Raw genomic sequence first — 15785 nt, forward strand, 5'->3', positions numbered from 1 at the left:
CGCGCGGGAGATCCGTACCTGGTGAGGCGAGGACGCAGAGTGTGTCGCTCACTTCCGTCTGGAGGTAGGGCGTAGCGCCCTACTCTTTTCCCCTATAGTAGGCCAGCCTATGAACGCAACCGGCAAATTTCGACCAATCCGAGTCTAGCTCTTCTGGATTCCCAGCATGCAGCGCAGACCCTGATCCAATTGCTGTAAAGACGCATCCTTAGAGAGGCTCTCGGGAGTCCGAGAGAGCACTGCATTCTGGGATTTGTAGTTTCTCTGGTGGATACCGTCGGCGTTGGGACCGAGGCAGCCCTGCATCCTGGGACTTGTAGTTTCTCGCACTGCGTGTTAAGATTTTGGTGGTTACAGAGACTGTCCGTACCTCTCATTTAGGGTTACGCCTGGAGGTGGGAGACTGCTGAGGAAAGATTGAAACGTGGGAGGGCGGTTTCTTTGCTAACGAGATCGTACTCTTTATGAAGCAGCATCTGTCCCTGGTGAAAAGTTGCTGTGCGTGCTGAAGAGCCAGCACAGCAACGACTAGCGCAATCGGCTGGCCTCATTTCCTCTCTTCCCGGTAGAATTCAATGTTAACTGAAAACTAACCACGTCCCCCACTCCACCCGCGAGGGTCCTGCCTTTGCCTCTGGGTTAGCTCAGCTGTCCTGGATCCGGAGCTCACGCACAGAAAATCCAGGCGCCTGCCAAACCGTTACTCAGTTTTTGGGAACTTCTTTCTCATTCCACGCCCCGCTTCCCACCCCCCCGCGTTTCCTATGGTAAGATATACAGGCACCTTTCCAGGAAGGCTGAAACAGCTAAATAAAGTTCACCTTCTACTGTTTTCCAGGAGTGTGGCATGAAGAGAATGTATGTAGGGCCAAGACAACATTACAAGGTGCTCAACGAGGCACTTTGTGTGCTCAAAAAATAGATAACAGGCTATCTAGAGTTTGTTGAACTGAGGACTTGCCAGAAAGGCTTTTTTTTTGTTTAATTTAGTTAATTTGGTAGATAAAAGACATTGGTTTTTTATAATTAGTTGCAATAATCAAGGAGATTGTCTTGGATAAATTTTTTAAAGCCTTTACAGAAATCAGAACAAAGATTTTTTGGCTGTAATGGTAGCTCGAAGTAGAGTTTGGTGGGGAGGACAGGCATGGAGGTGCAGATGAGGAGGCTGTAGGCCCCTTTTCTTTTCTCTTCTCTTTTCTTTCCTTCTTTTTTATTGAGAGGGTGTCTCGCTCTGTCTCCCAGGCTGGCGTGCAGTGGCGCAATCTCGGCTCACTGCAGCCTCCACCTCCCAGGCCCAAGCAATTCTCGTGCCTCAGCCCCCTGAGTAGCTGGGATTACGGGTGTGCTCCACCACGCCGGGCGACTTTTTTCTGTGTTTTTAGTGAAGACGGGGTTTCACCATGTTGGCCAGGCTGGTCTCAAACTCCTGACCACAAGTGATCCGCCCACCTTGGCCTCCCAAAGTGCTGGGATTACAGCCGTGAGCCACTGCGCGCGGCCTAAAAACATCCTTAAAATCATTCTAAAATCCCATTAGTTTATATTTAACAAATGTCTCTAACTTACTGGAACTGGAAAATCCATCTAACATAAATAACAATTCTATGTAAATCTATGGTACAGAGTTTTCAGACTATAATCTGATTTTATCTATTTAGAAATTTTGAGAAATAGATCAAACAAAAGTTTTTATTTTCATTTACTTACAGTATTTGTAGGGGGAACAGCTTTACAGAAGATAAAAAATTTGAGTTCTCTTAATATAGTTAAGAAAAACATTTTTATGTGAAAATTTTAAATATATCAGCAAAATAATAGAGTGAATATTGATTGTGAGTGAATTACCCTAAACAGAAGAGTTTTTAAAATGTAAATAGGCCAGGTGTGGTAGCTCAGGTTCTGTGACACTTTGGGAGGCCCAGGCGGGAGGATCCCTTGATTCCAGGAGCTCAAGACCAGCCTGGGCAACAAAAGGAAACCCTGTATCCACTAAAAATACAAAAATTAGCTGGGCATGGTGACGTGGCCTGTAGTCCCAGGTACTTGGGAGGCTGAAGTGAGAGGAACACTTGAGCCTGGGAGGTCAAGGCTGCAGTGAGCTATGATGGTGCCACTGCACTCCAGCCTGGGCGACAGAGCAAGACCCTGTCTCAAAAACAAAATAAAAGGTGGGCACAGTGGCTCACCCTTGTAATTCCAGCACTTTGGGAGGCTGAGGTGGGCGGATAGCTTGAGCCTCAGGAGTTTGAGACCAACCTGGGCTATATGGTGAAACTCCATCTCTACTATTAAAACAAATATTAAAATAAAAATAAACAAAATGTAAGTAGAAGCTAACTTTTTATAAAATAAAGTTATCCATATAGAGGTATTATCATTATCTCCTTCTGAATACTCCCCCCAATAGACAGTATTTGGAGTTGCCAACATGATCATATTCTATTGATTTATTTTTATTTTTATTTTTGAGACAGGGTCTAGCTGTGTCACTCAGTGCAGTGGTGCAATCAGGGCTCACTGCAGCCTCAACCTCTTGGGCTCAAGTGATCCTTCCACCTCAGCCTCCCAAGTAGCTGGGACTACAGGCAGGTGCCACCATGCCCAGCTAATTTAAAAATTTTTTGTAGAGACAGGGTCTCACTTTGTTGCCCAGGCTGGTCTCAAACTCCTGGAATCAAGTGATCCTCTCACCTGGGCCTCCACGTAGTATTGGAATTGCAGGCGTGAGCTCCCGCCCCTGGCCACACATTATTTTAGACTATGAATTTGTTCCTCTCCGGTGCAAATAACATGTCAAATCAAAAACATGTATAGTTCTGCAGTGGTAAACAAAAGTGTGTTTCTATTACTAAGATGCTCATCCTTCAAGACTGAGCTAAATGTGAAGCCAGTCTGAAGACATTCTGAGGCAAAATTAATCATGTTCTTCTTTGTACTTCTGTGGCATTTGTTTGTTCTTTTTTTTGAGACACGGTGTCACTTTGTGGTCCAGGCTGGAGTGCAGTAGTGTGGTCTTGGCTCACTGAAGCCTCGACTTTGGGCTCAAGCAATCCTACCATGTCAGCCTCCTGGGTAGCTGGGACCACAGGCACACACTTACCATGTGTGGCTTATTTTTGTTTTAGGTTTTTTTTTTTTTTTTTTTTTTGTAGAGACGGGGTCTCCCTGTATTGCTCAGGCTGGTCTCAAACTCCTGGCCTCAAGAGATCTTCCTGCCTAAACCTCCCAAAGCGCTGGGATTACAGGTGTAAGCCACCACGGCCAGCCACATTTTGTATATTGCGGTGTCTCAATTGTATTACATTATATTCTAGCCAATTTTCAGGTATTTTCCTCCACTGTTTAAGCACTGTGGATTCCCAGTTTAATCTAGTATTTTGTATCCTCTGCTCCTAGCTCAGTCCTGGCAATAGATTCAGTACCTCTTTAACAAGTAATGAATCAATGTGTATATGGATGTGAATGATTTCCGAAGACAAATCTGGTAACACCTATCAATATTACATGAACAATTCCATTTATTTTCCTCCAACCCGATGATTCAATTAAGTTATCACTCATTTTTGTTCAAATCGTATATTCTTTCTTCTGTGCCAACAGGCTAGAATCATTTTCCGCAAAGGAAACAGTTTTTAGTGATGTCGTCCACGAGAAAAAAAAATATTTAACCCTGGCTTCTGGGCATTGTCATTCTCGTACAGCCCTCTGCCCCTCCACACTGTTATAAAGAAGGTAAAATTCTAGGAAGGAGGAGCCGCTGAGCCAAGGACAGAGCGGCGGGCTCCCAGCTCAGCTGGCGGATAACGCGCGCGGCCGGGAAGGCGGCAGGCGGGCGGCAGGCGGGCGGCAGGCGGGCGGCAGGCGGGCGGCAGGCGGGCGGCAGGCGGGCGGCAGGCGGGCGGCAGATTCTGCGCACGCGCAGGCAGCCCAGCTGCCAGTCAGGCGTCCCGGGCTGGGCATGCGCCACTTGTGCGGCAGTCGGGTGGGAAGCCGTGTCTCGCAGTCGTGGACTCGTGCAGCTGGGGCGTCCGCAGCCGCTCGTCACCCGCGTGATGCTGTTTCTGGCGTTGGGCAGCCCGTGGGCGGTCGAACTGCCTCTCTGCGGAAGGAGGACTGCATTGTGTGCGGCCGCCGCGCTCCGAGGTCCCCGGGCCTCTGTCTCCCGGGCGTCCTCCAGCAGCGGGCCTTCGGGGCCGGTAGCCGGCTGGAGTACGGGGCCTTCGGGAGCCGCGCGCCTTCTCCGGCGTCCGGGTCGAGCGCAGGTAGGGCGTCCGAGGTCTGGTGTCCCAAGTGAGGCGGGGAGGGCGGGCGTCGTGTCGGGCCTGGGGAGCCCCAGCGGCTCTTCGCGACCTCTCCCAGGTGTCCGTGGCTGGAGCGCGGGAGGAGCCCCCTCTGCGGGGCTTGCAGAAGTAGCAGGCCGAGGGCCCCGGGGTCCTCAGCCTCCGCGAGTCCAGGAGAACGGCTGGAAAGTGCTTACTTTTATGGTAGTTCCAAATCCAGAGGGTTTGTGGTGACAACTATATGTAGTTCCTTTTCTGCCCTTGAGTAGAAGCTTAGAAGTGTTAATTTGCAAAAAATTGGATGCAGCACCTGGAAATAGAACCGAAAGAGCCAGGTTAACCTGACTTTGAGCTTGTTCTACTTTTATGAGGTGGCTGTACTTTTAAGAATTACTTTGGTCCCTGGGAAAAGGGGGATGCAGATGTTAATTCTTTTATTTTGATCTGAATAAATTGTCTTCTAATTCTACTCTGTAAAATATCAGGATTGGCAAACCTGGTTAAAACTTGGAAGAAATGCTTAAAATGGAAATTGGAATCTAATTACATTTCAGCATTGAGGAATTAGGCATGCCTTTTACATTTTGAAGTGTATACACTGTGAAACTCATTTTCAGATGTATGGGGAACGCTTCTGTTCCCTTGAAATTTGATGTAGGATTTCAAGTAAATTTTATTTCTTTTTTTTTGGAGGTGAAGTCTCGCTCTGTCACCCTGGTTGGAGTGCAGTGACGTGATCTTGGCTCACTGCAACCTCCGCCTTCCGGGTTCAAGCGATTCTCCTGCCTCAGCCTCCCCAGTAGTTGGGATTACAGGCGCGCTCCACCACACCCCGGCTGATTTTTTTTTTGTATTTTTAGTAGAGACGGGGTTTCACCGTGTTGGCCAGGCTCGTCTTAAACTCCTGACCTCAAATCATCCTCCTGCCTCGGCCTGTCAAAGGGTTGGGATTACAGGCGTGAGCCGCTGTGCCCAGCCAAATTTTATTTCTTGTCAAGAAATAAGAGGACCAGGGGATACACGGTATTTACAAGGTCTTTAGAGAAAGATTTGATCTCTTTAATACTATCATATAAATATTTTAGCAGTATTTGTAAAAGGCCTGGACTTTAAATATAATGTGAGTTTGCGGAGTATTTTACTTAAATTATTTTAGTAAAATTAAATTTTATTTCTTAGAGATGGGGTCTTGCCATGTTGCCCAGGCTGGCCTTAAACTCCTGGGCTCAAGTGATCCACCTCAGCCTCCCCAGTAGCTGGGGCTATAGACGTGTTCCATTACACCAGCTAAATGTATTTATTTTTTGAAAAGGTGTTGCATTTAAATAGAATGGAAATGATGTCGTCATTAACAGTGGAGTAGAAGAAACTGTTACTATTTTTACTTGTTCAAGGTCACACTAGACCTAGAAACCTGAGAGCTGGGATGCTAAGCTAACAAACTCCAGCTCTGCAGTTTTCTACTTGTGACTAGAATTAAGGCAAGCCATTCTGTCAGCCAATTTATTTCTTTAACTCTGTAGATTATTTGGGAGAATTCCTTATGTCACCTCATGTGACAAGTTCTTTTCATTACAATTTTATTTTATTTTTTTGAGACGGAGTCGTGCTCTGTTGCCCAGGTTGGAGTACAGTGGTGTGATCTCGGACCACTGCAATCTCCGCCTCCCAGGTTCAAGCGATTCTTCTGCCTCAGCCTCCGGAGTAGCTGGATTACAGGCGCCAGACACCATGCCCGGCTAATTGTTTGCATTTTTAGTAGAGACGGGGTTTCACCATGTTGGCCAGGCTGGTCTTGAACTCCTGACCTCAAGTGATCCGCCCCCCTCGGCCTCCCAAAGTGCTGGGATTACAGGCATGAGCCACTGCACCTGCATTACAATTTTAAAAATAAACTTAAGCTGGGCATGGTGGCTCATGCCTGTAATCCCAGCACTTTGGGAGGCCAAGGTGGCAGATCACTTGAGGTCAAGAGTTCAAGACCAGTCTGGCCAACATGGTGAAACCCCGTCTCTAATAAAAATACAGAAATTAGCCGGGTGTGGTGGTGGGCACCTGTAATCCCAGCTACTCAGGAGACTGAGGCAGGAGAATTGCTTGAACCCGGGAAGCAGAGGTTGCAATGGTGAGCTGAGATCGCACCACTGCCCTCCAGTCTGGGAGACAGAGCAAGACTCTGTCTCAAAAAAAAAAACTTAAAAAAATTTAAGAAGGTTAGTTGACCATAATGATCCCTGTTTCAATAGATCCCTGTTTATTGGGAAGGATATGTTCGATTCTTAAATACGCCATCTGACAAATCAGAAGATGGAAGGCTAATTTATACTGGCAATATGGCCCGAGCAGTGTTTGGTAAGTAATTGGAGGTGGGTGTACTTACTTTGTTTTTTTCTCTTTTAATTGTAAAAATATCCTTACCATATCTTACTTGTTGTTATGGCATCCCTTAATTACAAGACGTAAGGAAAATTAGATTTTCATTTTTTTTTCTTGAGGTGTGTTGATAAGATGTAGAGACCTTTGCATTTTTAGATTTTTATTTGAGACAGAGTCTCACTCTGTTGTCCAGGCTGGAGTGCAGTGGCATGATCTTGGTTCACCATACTCTTCGCCTCCCATGTTCAAGCGATTCTCCTGGCTCAGCCTCCTGCTGGGATTACAGGTATGCACCACCACACTTGGCCAATTTTTGTATTTTTAGTAGAGACAGGGTTTCACCATGTTGGTCAGGCTGGTCTTGAACTCCTCACTTCAAGTAACCCACCCACCTCGGCCTCCCAAAGTATTGGGATTACAGGCGTGAGCCACCACGCCCGGCCTCTATTATGTTTTAATATTTCGAAGGGGTAACTTCCCCTCATTGCTTTATTTTTTTATTTTTTGCTGCTTTTGTTTTTCCAAATAAACTTTATAATCAACTTGTTTAGGATCTCAACTTTATTTTCCAAACAGATGGTATTTTTTATTAGGATCGTATTAAAATTATAAATTAAAGGTAAGGTAAATTTACATTTTAAGTCATTTTTTATTGTGGTTAGATAAACATAAAATTTTTCACTTTAATCATTTTGAAGTATACAGTTTAGAAGCCATTTTTTAAAAATAATTTTTATTTTTTAGAGACAGGGTCTCTGTCATCTAGGCTGGAGTGCAGTGGTGTGATCATAGTTCACTGCAACTTCAAACTTGTGGGCTCGAGTGATCCTCCCACCTCAGCCTCCCAAATAGCTAGGACTACAGACATGTGCCACTACACCTGGCTGATTTTTTTTTTTTTAAGCTAGTCAAATTTAGCAGTGGGGACATTGTATACCAACTTTAGTGATGCCAGTGTTAAGTTCTGATAACTCATTACCATCAGACCAGCCTTGGCTAATTAAAAAAAATTTTTTTTGTAGAGACAGGTCTTCCTATGGTGCCTAGGCTGGTCTCAAACTGGTCTCAAGCAGTCCTTCTGCCTACACCTTCCAAAGTGCTGAGATTACAGGCATGAGCCACTGCACTCTGCTAGAAGTCATTTATTTTTAATCTTTCTAAGGTAATAGGTAAAAATGGTATCTCAGTGTTTTTTTTGTATTTTTTATTATTTATTTATTGAGACGGAGTTTTGCTCTTGTTGCCCAGGCTGGAGTGCAGTGGCACAATCTGGGCTCACTGCAACCTCCACCTCCCAGGTTCAAGCAATTCTCCTGCCTCAGCACCCCCAGTAGCTGGGATTATAGGTGCATGCCACCAAGCCTGGCTAATTTTTGTATTTTTAGTAGAGACAGGATTTCGCCATGCTGGCCAGGCTGCTTATCTCATTGTTTTAACTTGAATGTCTTTCCTTACTAAAGAAATTGAATACCTTTCCCATATGTTTCTGTTTTTTTTTTTTGAGATGGAGTCTCGCTTTGTCTCCCAAGCTGGAGTGCAGTGTGCAGTCTTGGCTCACTGCAGCCTCTACCTCCTGGGTTCAAGGATTTTCCTGCCTCAGCCTCCTGAATAGCTGGGATTACAAGCACTTGCCACCATGCCCAGCTAATTTTTGTATTGTTAGTAGAGATGGGAGTTTCACCATGTTGGCCAGGCTGGTCTCGAACTCCTAACCTCAAATGACCCACCTGCCTCAGCCTCCCAAAGTGCTGGGATTACAGGCATGAGCCAATGCGCCTGGCCGTCCGATATGTTTTTTAACCACTGGTTTTATTTCTCTGGTGATTTGCTGTTTTAATCCTGGGCACTTAGCCTGATAGAATTTCCCATGTTTGAATATTTTATGTTAGATATACTGGAGTGCTTGTTAATAGAGAGTTTTGTTTGATAATCTGCTATCTGAATCAACTTTTGTAGTACAATATTAGTAAGGATCTTTAAGTAATATTAACTACTTTATTGTGGAACTGAGGTAGGGCCACTTAAACCCTAAAGCAGATTTCCTGCCTGGAGAGGCAGTGCATTCTAATGGTCAGTAGCAGGGACATTGAAGTCAAAATATGTAAAGTCCTTAAAACAGAGCTTAGAATATAATAAGCACTGTATTTATGGTTTGATTTTGTTGTCTTGAGCTGATACAGTAAGAAGAAAAATGGAAGAATTAGTGGGATAGATTGATTCTTTTATAAAATTTAAAAGTATTGATCCTCTCTCTTTTTTTCCCATTTAGGTGTGAAATGTTTCTCTTATTCTACGAGTCTGATTGGCCTTACATTTCTGCCATACATTTTTACACAAAATAATGCTATTTCTGAAAGTGTGCCTCTGCCTATTCAAATCATATTCTATGGCATCATGGGAAGCTTTACGGTGATCACCCCAGTGCTGCTTCACTTTATTACAAAAGGCTATGTCATTCGATTGTACCATGAGGCCACAACAGACACTTATAAAGCCATTACCTACAATGCTATGCTTGCAGAAACGAGTACAGTGTTTCACCAGAATGATGTGAAGATTCCAGATGCTAAACATGTATTTACCACATTTTATGCTAAAACAAAATCACTGTTAGTTAATCCAGTGCTCTTTCCAAACCGTGAAGACTATATCCATCTAATGGGTTATGACAAAGAAGAATTTATTTTGTATATGGAAGAAACCAGTGAAGAGAAACGGCATAAAGATGACAAATGAGCCTATTTGTTAGTGTTCGTGCTCAAATGTGATTTACGTTTTAATGTATAATAATAAAATTGCCTTTTGCATTCCGTTAGTGACTGATTGTTAAAAATAATTTGAAATTATCAAAGCTTTTAATTTCCAGAGAATGATGTTTGTTTATAATAAAACAAGCTATGTTTGAAAACCAAAATGTAGTATCTACCATTCGTGTTTTAGAAAGGTATGTGAATAAATATGTTCATGCTAGTATAAGAGTTCTGTGTTACTGTGGTTGACTCTAAACTGGGGATCTGATGTCAGTAGCAAATGGGAGAGTTGCTTTATTCTTTGTGTATGGATTTTTCTAAGTGTATAAATATTTTCCGACATTAAAAGACATTTTCTCTTTGAGGAAGACACAGTCATAGGTGGTGCGGAGCTGTGGTCCACCTGCTCCTGCTCCTGACTCACTGCTCTTTGCTGTTGCCTGAGGACCAAGTCTGTCAGGAAGCTGGCTAGGAAGCCTTGCAGCAGCCATGGCTTTTAAACATACCAGAAAAACACCCGTGGAGTCAGAGGTGGCAATTCACCGAATTCATATCACTCTAACGAGTTGCAACGTAAAATCCCTGGATAAGGTGTGTGCTGACTTGATCTGAGGAGCAAAGGAAAAGAATCAGTGAAAGGACCAGTTTGAATGCCTACCAAGACTTTGAGAATCACTACAAGAAAAACTTACGGTGAAGGTTCTAAGGCATGGGATCGTTTCCAGATGAGAATCCACAAGCGACTCATTGACTTGCGCAGTCCTCAGATAGTTAAGCAGATTACTTCCATCAGTATTGAGCCAGGAGTTGAGATGGAAGTCACCATTGCAAATGCTTAAGTCAACTGTTTTCATAAATTGATTACCAGTTGTTAAAAAATTTTCAAAAAACCGCAAAATTTCAAGAAATTCACAAATTATGGGAGCAGTTTTAAGTCTTCTTTGGTTCAGAACACAGGTTTTTGCCTAACCCCTGGCATGATTGCCCATAAGAACATACATGTACAGTTGAACTGGTGGTTAGCTATACGGGAAATGGTAAGTAGTGTTGTCTTCAGTATCTTAATTTGTTTCTGCAACTGTGCACTCCTCCCTTGGTGGCACCCTATGGGTGTAGGAAAACCACTGTTATTAAACAGGTGAAAAATACCTTGTGTAAAATTGCTGTCTCTATGCTAGCTTTGTCAAGAATATCCATTGTAAGATTTTTACCTCTATTGTAAAGTGGAGATTGACTCTTGCCAAGGATTTTTAGCCAGGAACAAGAGGCCTCAAACCACACTATTTAGATCAGTAGATATTTACTAAGTGCCCAGTACTGTGCTAGTTACTAAGATCACAGTTAAGAATGAAACACCCCGTCTGTCTTTATGGAGCTACCTAACATTGTCTATGGCCACCATGATAGTAAATTTAAACTTTATGGCGTACATGTGTATGAGGGAGGTTGATGGGGAAGCAGCAGGAACATCTGTTCAAAGAGATCATTCAACTCCCAGGCTGCTCGAAACTTATTCATAGGAGATAAGACAGAAAAGCTGTCTTTCTGAGACGTAGAGCCTGCCCTCTGCTTGGATTGTCCAGCTCACCAGACTGAGAATTCCCACCGCCATTCCTCTGTGCCATCTTCTGCTCAAGGTGGGTTTTTGCCTGCTTGCTTCTCTGTCCTTTGTCCCCTAGATGTATCCTAGCAATGAATGAGAGATGTGTTTCTATTTTTTTCATAGCAACCTACTAGATAAGGGAAGCTTGTCCAGCCTGCAGCCCAGGACGGCTTTGAATGTGGCCCAACACAAATTCGTAAACTTAAATTTTATTTTTGAGATTTTTTTTTTAAGCTCATCACTATCATTAGTATATTTTATGTGTGGCCCAAGACAATTCTTCCAACGTGGCCCAGGGAAGCCAAAAGATTGGACACCCCTAAGATAAGAGATATCTTTCTATAGAAAGTTATTCTATGATCAAATGTTTATTATGGATACATTAGAAAGTAGAAGGAAGAAAGAGGCTGGGTGTGGTGGCTCTTGCCTGTAATCCCAGCTACTTGGGGGGCTGAGGTGGGAGACTCGCTTGAACCTGGGAGATCAAGACTGCAGTGAGCTGGGATCACATCACTGCACTCCATCCAGGGTGACAGAGCAAAACCCCATCTCAAAAACAAAAAAGGAAAAAATCACTCCTAGTTCCCCCTAGAAAAAATAGCATTGTTTACATTTTAAAGATCTCTTCCAATATTACATCTCTTCATAACTTGTTTTAAGTGCAATATATTTCTTTATGTTATAAATAAAGTTTTGGTGCTGCAAAAGAAATAGCACTCAAATATAACATTTTATTTTTTTCTTCTCAGCAAGGCAGTTTACTTCTATAGAAGGGGGCGCCCTCACAGATGGAGCAATGGTGAGCGCACACTTGGACAAGGGAGGAAAAGGGGGTCTTATTCCTGACACATGTGGCCCCTGCTGCTCTGTTGTTCTCCTATTGGCTAGGGTTAGACCGCACAGGCTAAACTAATTCCGACTGGCTAATTTAAAGAGACTGATAGGGTGAGTGGTTTGGCGGGAAAAATGGTTGTGGAGAATGAGCAGGTAATTGGAATGAGTCAGGGTGGAGCAGGTAATCAGAAAAGGTTGCTTTACGAGGAAGTTAAGTTTAAAAGTAGAAGGCAAAGAATTGAACATACATATTGACTCTTTGAAGAGAAATTTAGAACTCATATCTAACATTTACATGTTCTATATCCATGTGATCATTTTATGACTGTGCTCTCGGTCCCACAGCCGTGAAGAGGATGCCCTGCAGACTCACTGCCCACCGGCTCCCTCCCCCGCATCCCTGCAACCCCAGAGGCGAAGATGGCCTCAGGAGTGCAAGTAGCTGATGAAGTATGTCGCATTTTTTATGACATGAAAGTTCGTAAATGCTCCACACCAGAAGAAATCAAGAAAAGAAAGAAGGCTGTCATTTTTTGTCTCGGTGCAGACGAAAAGTGCATCATTGTAGAAGAAGGCAAAGAGATCTTGGTTGGAGATGTTGGTGTAACCATAACTGGTCCTTTCAAGCATTTTGTGGGAATGCTTCCTGAAAAAGATTGTCGCTGTGCTTTGTATGATGCAAGCTTTGAAACAAAAGAATCCAGTACAGAAGAGTTGATTTTTTTTTTGTAGGCATGAGAACTAGCACCTCTGAAAAGTAAAATGATCTGTGCAACATCCAAGGATGCAATGAAAAAGAAATTTCAAGGCATTTTATCAGTGTGTAGTGGAGTGAAAAACTTGTTTTTATTGGTTGATATCAGAATAATTCTTCAGAAGGCAACTTGGTAGTCTAGGGGAAAAATATGCTTTCACTAAGTGGGAAAGGTGACATCTCAAGGGCATGATATGGAGTGAGAATCTAGGACAGAGAAAGGATCAGCATGCATAGGATAACAGGATGATTCATCACTGAAATAATCAGCAGAACCAACTCAGGCCAAGGTTAGGAGGAGAAACATAGGCACCTCCCTCATGCCACTTTGCTATCCTACCCCAGGCAGAGTAATCTCAGGAAGACTGGGAAGGTAATGAATCTCTCACTGTCTAGCAAAGGTGAATCACTTATTTGCATCACAAAAGTCACCTATTTGCATGTGAAAAGGCAAGGTGATCCTAGCTGACATCTGGGTTACATCAGGTAATAACCCTGTTAACAATAAAATATTGCAATCCTTTTCTCTAATGTAGATTTCACTGTACTGAAAGGCTTTTGGAAGCAAAAGTAACAAGATGGCCATTAGATATGAATGGCAGTCTTAGCTTGAATGTATTTGTAAAAATTTTATTCTGATTCTTTTAGAACACCTTGAACTTGCTTTTATTTTTATTGAGAATTTCAAACACAAAAGTAAAAGAGTACAGTGAACCTGCATGACTCTATCATCCAGATTCAACAATGACCAATTTATAGTCACTATTGTTTCATCTAGACCTAATCATTTGCCCTCTACTTTTTGGGGAAAGCAAATTCCAGTCATAATAATATTTCTTTCTTAAATATTTACTTTTGTAACTCTACAAGATGAGGACTTATTTTAAAATGTAGCTACAATACCATTATCAGATCTACAAAAACAAAACAACCTCACAGCCCTAATGTCATCAATCTATCAGTCTGTTTAAATTTCCAATTGCTTCATAATTTTTTCCCACATTTGGTTTGATTTAAGATTCAAATAATCAGAACAGAATGAAGAGTTGGTTAAAAAAATTATATATATATATCTCCAAATAAGTTTCATATCTTACACACACCAATTGTTTAAATGGTTTTTAAGGCTCTTCTAAAAGACATTTAGAAGACATTTAGATGTTGAGTCCACCCCCCAGACTCAAGCAATCCTCCCACCTGAAGCCTCCAGGGGAGTTGGGACTACAGGTGCGTGCCACCATGCCTGGCTAATTTTTGTATTTTTTTGTAGAGACAGGGTTTTACCATGTTGCCCAGGCTGATCTTGAACTCCTGGGTTCAAGTGATCCACTCGTCTTGGCCTCCTAAAGTATTGGGATTACAGATGTGAGCCACTGCATCCGGCCAGGCCTTTCCATTTTCATTTTTTTTTCCCTTGCAAATTATCTGTTGAAGAAATCATTGTTTGTCACTTAGATCTTCTCATGGTCTAGATTTTCTACTTGTATCCCTGAGCTGTATTTTAACATGTTTCTCTGTCTTCTATACTTCCTATAAATAGGTAAGTAGATCTTAAAACTTCATCAGAGTGAGGTTTGATTATTTTGGACAAAACTACTTTTATAGATGATCATATTTGTTATCTTGCTGCATAATGAATTACCCCTGAAACTTACAGGCTTAAAGCCACAATAAACATCTCTAACACTGCACAGTGTCTGTAGGTCTGGAAATGAGGAGTGGCCTAGCTGAGTGGTTTTGGCTTTAGCTCTCTCAGGAGGTAGTTGGTGCTGCTGTCATCTGAAGGCTGGACTGTGGCATGAGGAACCCCCACTTCCAAGATGGCTCACTTACATGACTGACAGTGTGGTACAAGCTCTTTGGCAGGAGGTCTCTGCTTCTCACCATATGGATCTCTCTTTAGCACTGCTTGCTTCTCCCAGAGTAAGTGATCCAAGAGAGCAAGGTTATACAATGTGTTGTGTGACCTACATGATATTTGCACACTGTCATTGCACAATACTTTATTGGTTACACAGTCAGCCTTATTTGATGTTGGAGGGGATTCACAAGGACATGTACACCAGGAGGTAAGGCTCACTGGGAGCTATTTGGAGGCCAGTCACCATAGTGTTCTCCCATTAAGAGGTACGTAATATTGTTTTGTCTCTTTGTGATGGTAGCAACCATTGATGCTCAATGCCTAAGTCCACCAATTCATTCGATGTTGAAAAATGGTTATATTCTATTATTCCCTTTTCACTTATTAACTGAAATACTTCTAAAAATAGAGCTAAAAGCACAAGAAGGCAAGAGAAATTTGCCCGTCTCTGCTATTTGGTAACCGAGCAGTTCAGTTTGTATAGAAAAGTCAGTATAAATGCTTGATTCTGTCCTTTTATTTGCCAGTTTTAAAAATAGATTTGGTTTCCTAGCATCATCTATTGATAAGTAGACTTAAAAAATACGTTATGAGGCGGGGCGCGGTGGTTCACGCCTGTAATCCCACCCCTTTGGGAGGCTGAGGGGAGGATTGCTTAAGGCCAGAAGTTCGCGACTGGCCCTGGCAACACAGTGAAACCCTGTCTCTAAGAAAAAACTAAAAAAATTAGCTGGGTATAGGGGTATATGCCTGTAGTCCCAGCTACTTGGAGGCTCAGGAGGGAGGATTGCTTGAGCTTAGGAGTTTAAGGTTGCAGTGAGCTGTGATCATGCCACTGCCCTCCAGCCTGGGTGAAAGAGGTAGATCCTGTCTCACAAAACGATAAATACATATAATGTTATGAGCTTATGGATTTAAATATATTAAAGTATTTCAACTTATTGCAGTTACTATCTTATTAATGTTCACATAGTTATGGAGATAGGCTAAATAATGGCAAAAAATGTTCACCTTCTAATCACTGGAAGCTGTGAATATTACCTTACATGGCAAAAGGAATTTTGCAGATGTGATTAAATTGAGGATTTTAACTCGGATTGTGCTGAATTACCCAGCTGGGTCCATTGTAATCACTGGGGTCCCTATAAGAAGGAGGCATGAAATCAGAGCAGAAGGTGATGAAATGGGCTGGGTGCAGTGGCTCAGGCATGTAATCCCAGCACTTTGGGAGGAGGAGGCAGGTGGATCACATGGTCAGGAGTTCAAGACCAGCCTAACCAATAAGGTGAAACCCCGTCTATACTAAAAATACAAAAAGTAGCTG

General features: G+C 42.8%; 2 protein-coding genes and 2 pseudogenes across 7 annotated transcripts in view, besides 9 other annotated features; 3 read left to right on the forward strand and 1 right to left on the reverse strand.

Annotated features, from left to right (window-relative positions):
- ELOC (elongin C) overlaps positions 1-61 on the reverse strand; it is a 27169-nt gene extending 27108 nt beyond the window's left edge. For all 4 annotated transcript variants that reach the window (NM_001204864.2, NM_001204857.2, NM_001204860.2 and 1 more), the window contains exon 1: positions 19-61. The gene's annotated coding sequence lies outside the window, so the exon portion shown is untranslated. The remainder of the gene's footprint in view (positions 1-18) is intronic.
- Positions 1-64: part of an enhancer, noted in NCBI's record as "H3K27ac-H3K4me1 hESC enhancer chr8:74883637-74884525 (GRCh37/hg19 assembly coordinates)", that runs on past the window's edge. NCBI's record gives its function as "activates a minimal SCP1, AML or CMV promoter by ChIP-STARR-seq in naive H9 embryonic stem cells {active_cell/tissue: H9 hESC(naive)}" and the evidence as "EXISTENCE:reporter gene assay evidence [ECO:0000049][PMID:30033119]".
- Positions 1-416: part of an enhancer, noted in NCBI's record as "active region_27537", that runs on past the window's edge. NCBI's record gives its function as "activates an Ori minimal core promoter by ATAC-STARR-seq in GM12878 lymphoblastoid cells {active_cell/tissue: GM12878}" and the evidence as "EXISTENCE:reporter gene assay evidence [ECO:0000049][PMID:35858748]".
- Positions 1-953: part of a biological region, named in NCBI's record as "H3K27ac-H3K4me1 hESC enhancers GRCh37_chr8:74883637-74884525 and GRCh37_chr8:74884526-74885414", that runs on past the window's edge.
- Positions 65-953: an enhancer, noted in NCBI's record as "H3K27ac-H3K4me1 hESC enhancer chr8:74884526-74885414 (GRCh37/hg19 assembly coordinates)". NCBI's record gives its function as "activates a minimal SCP1, AML or CMV promoter by ChIP-STARR-seq in primed H9 embryonic stem cells {active_cell/tissue: H9 hESC(primed)}" and the evidence as "EXISTENCE:reporter gene assay evidence [ECO:0000049][PMID:30033119]".
- Positions 3758-3837: a silencer, noted in NCBI's record as "silent region_19296". NCBI's record gives its function as "represses an Ori minimal core promoter by ATAC-STARR-seq in GM12878 lymphoblastoid cells {active_cell/tissue: GM12878}" and the evidence as "EXISTENCE:reporter gene assay evidence [ECO:0000049][PMID:35858748]".
- Positions 3887-4102: a silencer, noted in NCBI's record as "fragment chr8:74888348-74888563 (GRCh37/hg19 assembly coordinates)". NCBI's record gives its function as "represses an EF-1alpha promoter that drives an FKBP-Casp9 reporter gene in an ReSE screen in phorbol 12-myristate 13-acetate-treated (for megakaryocytic differentiation) K562 erythroleukemia cells {active_cell/tissue: K562(+PMA)}" and the evidence as "EXISTENCE:reporter gene assay evidence [ECO:0000049][PMID:32094911]".
- Positions 3969-10557, forward strand: TMEM70 (transmembrane protein 70). Of its 3 annotated transcripts, NR_033334.2 has the most exons (4): positions 3969-4265; positions 6530-6635; positions 6853-6945; positions 8929-10557. NR_033334.2 is itself a non-coding variant. In NM_001040613.3 (3 exons), exons 1-2 carry the CDS (start codon positions 4056-4058, stop codon positions 6641-6643), a joined length of 324 nt encoding a protein of 107 aa, NP_001035703.1. In that variant the 5' UTR covers positions 3969-4055; the 3' UTR covers positions 6644-6649; positions 8929-10557. The 3 variants fall into 3 exon arrangements, 2 of the variants coding, with proteins under 2 accessions (NP_001035703.1, NP_060336.3); NM_001040613.3 differs by lacking the exon at positions 6853-6945 and having other exon boundaries at positions 6530-6649; NM_017866.6 differs by lacking the exon at positions 6853-6945.
- Positions 4268-4317: a silencer, noted in NCBI's record as "silent region_19297". NCBI's record gives its function as "represses an Ori minimal core promoter by ATAC-STARR-seq in GM12878 lymphoblastoid cells {active_cell/tissue: GM12878}" and the evidence as "EXISTENCE:reporter gene assay evidence [ECO:0000049][PMID:35858748]".
- On the forward strand, positions 9766-10284 carry RPS20P21 (ribosomal protein S20 pseudogene 21; annotated as a pseudogene).
- On the forward strand, positions 12177-12658 carry DSTNP3 (DSTN pseudogene 3; annotated as a pseudogene).
- Positions 12734-13316: an enhancer, noted in NCBI's record as "OCT4-NANOG hESC enhancer chr8:74897195-74897777 (GRCh37/hg19 assembly coordinates)". NCBI's record gives its function as "activates a minimal SCP1, AML or CMV promoter by ChIP-STARR-seq in primed H9 embryonic stem cells {active_cell/tissue: H9 hESC(primed)}" and the evidence as "EXISTENCE:reporter gene assay evidence [ECO:0000049][PMID:30033119]".
- Positions 12814-13014: a silencer, noted in NCBI's record as "peak7073 fragment used in MPRA reporter construct". NCBI's record gives its function as "represses an SCP1 promoter by STARR-seq MPRAs in K562 erythroleukemia cells {active_cell/tissue: K562}" and the evidence as "EXISTENCE:reporter gene assay evidence [ECO:0000049][PMID:32103011]".

The sequence above is a fragment of the Homo sapiens genome, chromosome 8 (genome assembly GCF_000001405.40).
Source record: "Homo sapiens chromosome 8, GRCh38.p14 Primary Assembly".
Taxonomy (NCBI): Eukaryota; Metazoa; Chordata; class Mammalia; order Primates; family Hominidae; genus Homo; species Homo sapiens.